Genomic DNA, 8,797 nt, shown 5'->3' with positions numbered 1-8,797 from the left:
CTAAAAGGAGGAGAAAAAAATAAAGTATGTTCATTACTTAAAACCAATTTTCCATTCTGAATTTCAACTACTGGGTAACAATCTGTTTAATGGCTCAGGTCTGCTCAGCGAAGAGACCCTGTTACATCTCTTTTCTCTTAAGCCCAGCACAGTTATCCCTGTTACATCTCTTTTCTCTTAAGCCCAGCACAGTTACCCCTGTTACATCTCTTTTCTCTTAAGCCCAGCACAGTTACCCCTGTTACATCTCTTTTCTCTTAAGCCCAGCACAGTTATCCCTGTTACATCTCTTTTCTCTTAAGCCCAGCACAGTTATCTGCAGGAACTCAATGAGTATTTTTGTATAAAGACTGGATGAAAATCATACCCAGGACAAGCTTTATACCCAGGACTAGATACACTTTAGACCTAGAAGGTTAGCACACATCTGTTTTAACTCCCTCTTACACAAGCTAAGGACTCAGGCCCATGAACCTGTTTTCCTCAGGTCTGACTGACAAGTGGCAATGCCAATATTAACAGCCAGGTTTCAAGATGGCAATGGCACAGAGGAGTGAAGCTCAGGCTTCCATGAAGGAGACTGCAGTTTATACACAGACTCTCCTGCATCTCCATTACCACAACGCTGAAACTAAAAGTTGTTGTGTTTAATAAAAGGACGTTTCAGCAAGACAGACTGTGTCCATCTTAAGTGTCTTTGCCAAAAGACGCTACAAATAAACTAAATGTGACTCAAGCTCTCCACCTGGGGGGAACAATCCTGCAACCTAAGGATGAGCAGGATCACCCGCCAATCAACCCAGGAGTTCCCTCTGCTGTTCCTCCCATGGGGGGCTTGCTGGACTTGAGGCCTCCTGGTGCTCAGCTGTGGCCACTTCCTGGCCCTCTTCAGACAGCAGGGTCTAAGCCCAGACTGCTAGTGCTGTCAGACCATGCTCTGGCCACCCTCCGCAAAAGCAAAGTGCCAAGGAGGGGTCCATCCAGGGCAGCTGTCAGGGGCATCCACCTGCACCCTGACCCGTGCTCTCCTCTAAAGGATGCCACAAAACGAGGGCATGCAGTACACACAACCCCTGCCATAGTTCCTGCAAATGGCAACTGCTGGTGTTTGCCCTGAACCCTGTGCAATAAACAACAGAGACTGTCATTTTATTACATTACACAACACAGAGACTGACCTTGACATCCCTAAGACCAGAAACGTCACGTGGAGTTCGAGAGCAACTCCCACTCCGGGCCACAGAGGACGGGGGAGCAGAGTCTTCCCGCTTTCTTTTCCTAGTGATGCTCCGGGATCTTCTTGCCTGGACTGCGTAATGGGCCTGCAAAGCAGGGGAAGCAATGCTCAGCGCTCAGGACCCCAGGTCCACTCCCAGGCTCAGTGCTCAGCGCTCAGGACCCCAGGTCCACTCCCAGGCTCAGTGCTCAGCGCTCAGGACCCCAGGTCCACTCCCAGGCTCAGCGCTCAGGACCCCAGCCCCGCTCCCAGGCTCAGCGCTCAGGACCCCAGCCCCGCTCCCAGGCTCAGCGCTCAGGACCCCAGCCCCGCTCCCAGGCTCAGAGCTCAGGACCCCAGCCCCACTCCCAGGCTCAGCGCTCAGGACCCCAGCCCCACTCCCAGGCTCAGCGCTCAGGACCCCAGGTCCACTCCCAGGCTCAGCGCTCAGGACCCCAGGTCCACTCCCAGGCTCAGAGCTCAGGACCCCAGCCCCGCACCCAGGCTCAGCGACAGGCATGAGGTCACTCCAGCAAGAGGGGAGGAGAGGAGCGTCTGAACCATTAACACATGGGCTAAAGGTCTTGAAAATACACGCAGTATTTTCATATTAGTGACACCATTTCAAGTTCACATTAGTAACAATTTCACATTAGTTGTTGGTCAAATATTCTTATTCACTTAACGGAAGCTGCTTTACGTAAGAAAGCTGATTTTAACTCCACTTAAAGAAACTTAGAACTCTCATTTAAAAGTGATTATTATAGTATAGCATCACAATTTATATTTCAGATATAAACAATGCTCTCTCCCTCACTGCCCCATTTTGGGGGTTACTGATATGAACACAAAGGGACAACCATCAGACAGAAACCATCAGACGGAAACTGCAGACTGCACATCTAGAGGACAGGGTCTGCAGCCACACCCTGGGCACGTCATGGTGCTGTCTCGTGCTGGCTGTGGAGCTTTTTTTTTTTTGAGACACAGTCTTGCTCTGTTGCCCAGGCTGGAGTGCAGCCTCAATCCACCACTTCAACCCAGACCCAGGGTCAGGGAATCCTCAACCCATCACTTCAAGTCAGTCCCAGGGCCAGCGAATCTCAAAAGAGAAAAACTGGAAGCTCTCATTTCTTTTTGCTGTAATTTCCCACGTTCCCACGGCTTTCCAAAACCCTGGTTTCTTTCTTTCTTTTTTTTGAGATGGAGTCTCACTCTGTCGCCCAGGCTGGAGTACAGGGGCACGATCTCAGCTCACTGCAATCTCTGCCTCCCAAGTTCAAGCAATTCTCCTGCCTCAGCATCCTGAGTAACTGGGATTACAGGCACACGCCACCACGCCCGGCTAATTTTTTGTATTTTTTTTAGTACAGACTGGGTTTCACCATGTTGGCCAGGCTGGTCTCGAACCCCTGACATCATGATCTGCCCGCCTTGGCCTCCCAAAGTGCTGGGATTACAGGCATGAGCCACCACGCCCGGCCAGTTTTCTTTATTAAAAAGGTGTATCCAGCCACATAAACACATGAACCGCCCCCACACTCACATCGTCTTTATCGTCCATGTCAACACCAAGACTACGCATCTCCTTCTCCAAAACTGTCCTCTGAACCTGAGAAGGATAAAAAGAAATATTAGCTTTAAATTAGTTTGATGAAATGTTGAAAAAAACTTCAAGGCAATATATATGTATACATATTTTGCAACAATTATAATATACTTATTTTAGAAGTTGTAATTTTTATTGGGCCCCGCTTTCATGTTTTTGGATAGCTCAATTAAATCCCACGAAAACTAACATTAACAGAGCAGTTGCTGTGGGAAGAATCAGCGTATCCTCCACGTCTGTCCATTCTTCACCGCAACACGGGGGAGAGAGTGACCGTCTCCATCAGAGGTGAGACACTAAAGCTGAGGTTAGTGAGGTGGCCTCAGACAAAGGCAGTGCGCCAACCTCTCTCCTCCCAGAGATGGCTGAGCCCCACCTGGAGAAGTACAAAAATGTCCAAGTCCGCCATAACCAGTCACTTGCCACCATGTGAAAACAGTGTATTCAAACAGGAAGACCCACTGAGAGGCATCCTGAATGTCAAGTGACTTCTCTGGTTACATGTTAACTGCCCTGCATGTGGGCTTTCTTCCCCCAGTCCCACCCTGCCACAGAGCCAATAAATTGCCTTTTGTAGACTGCGTCAGGTTTCTGTAAATTGCTAAAGAGTCCAGATTTTTTTTTAAATTTTTTATTTTTTGAGATGGAGTCTTGCTCTGTTGCCCAGGCTGGAGTGCACTGGCACAATCTCGGCTCACTGCAAGCTCTGCCTCCCGGGTTCACACCATTTTCCTGCCCCAGCCTCCCGAGTAGCTGGGACTACAGGCGCCCGCCACCACGCCCAGCTAATTTTTCTGCATTTTTAGTAGAGACGGGGTTTCACTGTTTTAGCCAGGATGGTCTCAATCTCCTGACCTCGTGATCCACCCACCTCAGCCTCCCAAAGTGCTGAGATTACAGGCGTGAGCCACTGCGCCCGGCCTAAAGAGTCCAGATTTAATGCAGAAATTAAAGAACAAGAAAACCAGCCGGGCGTGGTGGCTCACGCCTGTAATCTCAGCACTTTGGGAGGCCAAGGCAGGCAGATCACTTGAGGTAAGGAGTTTGAGACCAGCCTGGCCAACATGGTGAAACCCCATCTCCACTAAAAATACAAAAGTTAGCCAGGCGTAGTGGCAGGTGCCTGTAATCCCAGCTACTCGGGAGGCTGAGGCAGGAGAATTGCTTGAACCCGCGAGGTGGAGGCTGCAGTGAGCCAAGATGGCGCCATTGCACTCCAGCCTGGGAGACACAGCAAGACTCCATCTCCCCCCTAAAAAAAAGAGAGAGAGAAAAAAGAAGAGGAAAATGTTCACTGATAGCCTTGAACGTCTGTGAACCATAAGTTACAGTTTTAATCTGTACAACTGCAAAATGACTGGATCTAGAGTAGTGCCAAACTCGAAGCTGAAAGTCACCAAGAAAGGACGCAGTAAAGAATATAAAAGATCAATACGTGAGCGATCTTGCAAATCCATACACCAATAAAACAAGAATGTGCAATCTTATGGCCATAAATGGGTTGAAAAGTTGTTATTTAGCAATGATCACACAGGAATCCAATTTTCAAAAACTAGATCACACTGCTTTGGAAAGACACAAACTTGCCTTCTTAGCAGTTCGCGGCATCCTGGGTCCCTGTGTATTCTTTTCTTTGGACTCCAGAATTTTCAACTTCTTTTTCTCTCGAATTTGCTTTGCCAGCTGTCGGATTTCCAGCATCTCTTCGTCTTCACTCTCAGATACACTGTCATACTCTCCAGCAGCTGTTCTCAGCTCTTCTTCTTTTTCTAATTCTTCCAATTTCTTTAAAAATGGAGTTGTAATGAAGCAAAATTAACAATGAGAAAACCCCTGAGTCAGTGAGTGTGGCAGAGTGTGTATGGGAGCTTTGTTTCCCTGACTCAGAGGAGAGCGATTGCCCTGGTCCAGACCCACCTGGGCCCTGCCTATGTGCCATTTACCTCACAGGGAGGGTTCTGTGAAGAAAATGGAGACCACGTGAACGCCAGCCGCCAGCAAGTCAGTAACCCCTGTGCACCATTTCCTTTTTTTAAAACAATTAAATTCCAAGGCTAAAAATGTGCAGAGACCGCCTCCTTCACTTCCAATGCTCCCGGCAGACACACACAAGGAACTCAGTCCTGAGACACTGATTTCGTGCCACATCCCACGTGTCCGTTCTAATGTCACCCCAAATACAACCTCACTGGCTACAAATAAGACAAAAATGAAAACTAAAACACACACGTTTATCACCCCCCAATGAGGCAACCCGGCCAGGAGCCCAGCAGGCAGATGTGCCTGTACGAGATGCTGGCCAGCAGTGCAGAGGGTGAGACGGGGGCCAGGCCTCGTGGAAGGGGATGGCACGGGCACAGCTGTGCGGAGGAGGGAAGTCTCAAGGCTTCTTGCGCCCAAGAGCGCGCACTGCAGAGGGGAAGAGGCTGGGAAGGCAGGCGGCCACCGCGGGGACAGTGAGGGCACGGGCTGGACTGGGGCCCCAGCAGAGGTGACAGCAGATGCCCTGAGGCCACTCCTCCAGCACCAACGAAATTGAGATTGTTGCCCCCAGAATCTGCTATCCCAGAATCTGCTATGGAGGCACAGGGAGCACAGAGACCACGAGACTGAAAATGTGAACTCAATGACGGAGGGCCTGTGGGAACCAAGGAGTGGCAACATGGGACATGCAGATGGCAAGTATTGTATAAAAAGAATGTTCCAGAGAGCTCAGCTGAGAGAAGAAGGCAGGACAGCAAGTATTGTATAAAAAGCATGTTCCAGAGAGCTCAGCTGAGAGCAGAAGGCAGGACAGCAAGTATTGTATAAGCATGTTAGCATGTTTCAGACAGCTCAGCTGAGAGAAGAAGGCAGGATAGCAACTAATGGAGGACACGGTCTAAGGATGTTTTCGTTTTTTAAAAAGATGAGTAAAACTTGTGGACTTTTATATGCTAAGAAAAAGCAAGTAGGGAGGGGATTGAGGCAGGAAAAAGATGTGACACAGCGGAGCCCCCAAGGAAGAGGGTCCAGCACAGCAGAGTCCATTAAGGGCCTGGCGGAGATACAGGGTGGGGAAGGTGGTGCAGGGGGCACAGTCAGGATGGAGGGATGCAGGAGAATGAAGGGGCCCAGCATCTCCACCAGAGTCTCGGGGTGGGGGGAAGAGGTGCAGGAGGCACAGTCAGGATGGAGGGATGCAGGAGAATGAAGGGCCCAGCACAGCAGAGCCCATCCAGGGCCTGGCGGAGACACAGGGTGGGGGGGAAGGTGGTGCAGGAGGCACAGTCAGGATGGAGGGGTGCAGGAGAATGAAGAGGCCCAGCATCTCCACCAGAGTCTCGGGGTGGGGAAGGTGGTGTAGGGGGCAGAGTCAGGATGGAGGGATGCAGGAGAATGAAGGGGCCCAGCATCTCCACCAGTGTCGGGACAGGGAAGAGGTGCAGGAGGCAGAGTCAGGATGGAGGGGTGCAGGATAACGAAGGGGCCCAGCATCTCCACCAGAGTGTCCGGGGTGGGTGGGTGGAGGCGGCGGGAAGGGGGCAGGCCAGCATAGCAGAGCCCAGCCAGGGCCAGTATCTCCACCAGAGTCTCAGGGTGGGGAAGTGGTACAGGGGGCAGAGTCAGGATGGAGGGGTGCAGAATGAAGCGGACAGGCCCAGCTGAGCCGAAGCCATGCTGCTATCTTCCAGCAATACTACTATAATAAAAAGGAAAACAATCCGCAATTTAAAAAGTGACACAAACCTTCATGATGGCTGGATCAATATAATCAGCTATATTATGGCCTTCCCAGATTTCTGGTATCTTATCATGTTTTTCAGACAAATTCATTAAATCCCAGTACTCTAAAGTTAAAAAAAAGGTGGTTACGTTTACAGCAGTTTTTAATATCTTCAAGTACTACGTGCGCAAAATGAGTTGTGACTGACGGCAAATCAACGACTCCACTGCAGAAGAGAGCACGACGTGCAATTCCACATGCAGCAGCATCAACACATCAGCCTCATTCAACACCCACACGTGGAGAAAGCTACAGAAATCACCCCACCATCCCAAAACAACAGGAAACAACACATCAGCCTCATTCAACACCCACACGTGGAGAAAGCTACAGAAATCACCCCACCATCCCAAAACAACAGGAAACAACACATCAGCCTCATTCAACACCCACACGTGGAGAAAGCTACAGAAATCACCCCACCATCCCAAAACAACAGGAAACAATGGAAGAACCCCCACTGAGTGCTATCAGCATGCACCTTTCTTTGAGACAGAGTCTCACTCTGTCGTCCAGGCTGGAGGGCAGAGGTACAATTTCTGCCCACTGCAGCCTTGTCCTCCTAGGGTCAAGTGATCCTCCCACCTCAGCCTCCCGTGTCACTGGAACTACAGGCACATGCCACCACACCCGGCTAATCTTTGTATTTTTTGTAGAGACGGGGTTCTGCCATGTTGCCCAGGTTGGTCTCAAACTCCTGGGCATAAGGGATCCAAAGTGCTGTGATTACAGGCGTGAGCCACTGCACCTGGCCCTCAGGATGCAACTTTTAATCTTCAAGAAATTAAAAGTTGACAAATAGGCTGAAACACTTTTATTACTTATTAAAGTCTTTCCCCCATTTTCTGAAATACTTCACGTCCAATTGGCATTTTATAATAATGATCACACTCTGGCCCTTACTCTGAAGATCCAAAATATAATCATCTCCCATTTCCAGCTCAAGATCTCGTTCCTGCAATAGAAAGAGAAATTATCATCAGCTTCATTTTGCCTTTCAGATCCAGAAATGCTCTGCCCCTTGTCACTTGAAACAATCTTTTCTCCAATCCTCTCAGTATCAGTGGGGTTCACCTTCCATTTCTGGTAGGAAGGCTGTTTCTTATCTCCCTGTCTGCGGGGCCAGCCTTTGGGTTCTGGTAGGAAGAGGCTGTTTCTTATCTCCCTGTCTGTGGGGCCGGCCTTTAGGTTCTGGTAGGAAGAGGCTGTTTCTGGCCATCTGGGGACTGTCTATCCCACTCATGCATTTGGTTCACGGCCATCTTCCCTCAGGCCAAAGAGCCCCATGAGAGAGGCTTCTGCAGGGGGACTCACTGCTGTGTCCGCAGCCTGACGGGGCCAGTGTCTGGGCACCCGCGGCTCCTGTTCGATGCCCCAGGCCCCCACGATGGGCACACACAGCCTGCCTCCCCCCATGAGAACACTGGGCGAGAGCTTCGGCAGCATACCCTCTTCTTCCTGGACTCCTCAGTTTCCATCCTCTTCCTGCGAGCCACCACTCCTTCAGGGATGAAAGGGGGCCTCTCCTGAGAAGATCCCATATAAAATATTTATGTGAAATGCCTGCTGAATGAGAAACTTACAAAGCCGAAAAAGTAGAAACAAATTCCCTACGTGCAAGGGGAACAGAAAACCATACCCAGACCAATGAACAACCAACAGATTATTTTAGGGGAGAGGAGTGGGTTCATACCGAGACCAATTAACAACCAACAGATTATTTTAGGGGAGAGGAGTGGGTTCAGGGTCACTTTGAGCACAGAGACCAGGAGGACTCCACAAAGTGATTCCAAAGTTTATCCAGGAAAAACAGAAATCATGATTATCATGAAAAATTATGGAAGAAGAAAGTGGTAAGAAATAACACTGGATCAACAGATGAAAGAAATTTAGACATAAACTCAAGTGCATATAAGAATTCAATGGAAACATAAAATTTCCAATACTCAGGTCAGAAATGCCGACCACTTGAAACGGAGTGCAACCTCCACCCTCACAACATAACCAACTCAAGACACGGTGAAGACTATCCAAAAAAGCTAATTTTTAATGCTAGTATAAAAGATAATTTTTTTTTTTTGACAGAGTCTCACTCTTGTCACCCAGGCTGGAGTACAGTGGAGTGATCTCGGCTCACTGCAACCTCCACCTCCCAGGTTCAAACGATTCTCCCGCCTCAGCCTCCTGAATAGGTAGAATTATAGGT

The 8,797-nt window shown here is 49.4% G+C and overlaps 1 protein-coding gene across 2 annotated transcripts in view, besides 2 other annotated features; it reads right to left on the bottom strand.

The window, feature by feature from the left end:
• GTPBP4 (GTP binding protein 4) overlaps positions 1 to 8,797 on the bottom strand; it is a 31,499-nt gene that overhangs the window by 2,858 nt on the left and 19,844 nt on the right. For both annotated transcript variants that reach the window (XM_047424932.1, NM_012341.3), the window contains exons 11-16: positions 8,040 to 8,117; positions 7,495 to 7,546; positions 6,555 to 6,655; positions 4,413 to 4,610; positions 2,763 to 2,828; positions 1,179 to 1,322 (exon numbers count right to left, since the gene is read on the bottom strand). In XM_047424932.1, coding sequence (XP_047280888.1) covers positions 1,179 to 1,322; positions 2,763 to 2,828; positions 4,413 to 4,610; positions 6,555 to 6,655; positions 7,495 to 7,546; positions 8,040 to 8,117 — 639 coding nt within the window. The remainder of the gene's footprint in view (positions 1 to 1,178; positions 1,323 to 2,762; positions 2,829 to 4,412; positions 4,611 to 6,554; positions 6,656 to 7,494; positions 7,547 to 8,039; positions 8,118 to 8,797) is intronic.
• Positions 7,456 to 7,956: an enhancer, noted in NCBI's record as "H3K4me1 hESC enhancer chr10:1055059-1055559 (GRCh37/hg19 assembly coordinates)". NCBI's record gives its function as "activates a minimal SCP1, AML or CMV promoter by ChIP-STARR-seq in naive H9 embryonic stem cells {active_cell/tissue: H9 hESC(naive)}" and the evidence as "EXISTENCE:reporter gene assay evidence [ECO:0000049][PMID:30033119]".
• Positions 7,957 to 8,457: an enhancer, noted in NCBI's record as "H3K4me1 hESC enhancer chr10:1054558-1055058 (GRCh37/hg19 assembly coordinates)". NCBI's record gives its function as "activates a minimal SCP1, AML or CMV promoter by ChIP-STARR-seq in naive H9 embryonic stem cells {active_cell/tissue: H9 hESC(naive)}" and the evidence as "EXISTENCE:reporter gene assay evidence [ECO:0000049][PMID:30033119]".

This window comes from Homo sapiens, chromosome 10, assembly GCF_000001405.40.
Source record: "Homo sapiens chromosome 10, GRCh38.p14 Primary Assembly".
Classification (NCBI taxonomy): Eukaryota; Metazoa; Chordata; class Mammalia; order Primates; family Hominidae; genus Homo; species Homo sapiens.
This window is presented reverse-complemented; position numbering and strand designations above follow the sequence as displayed.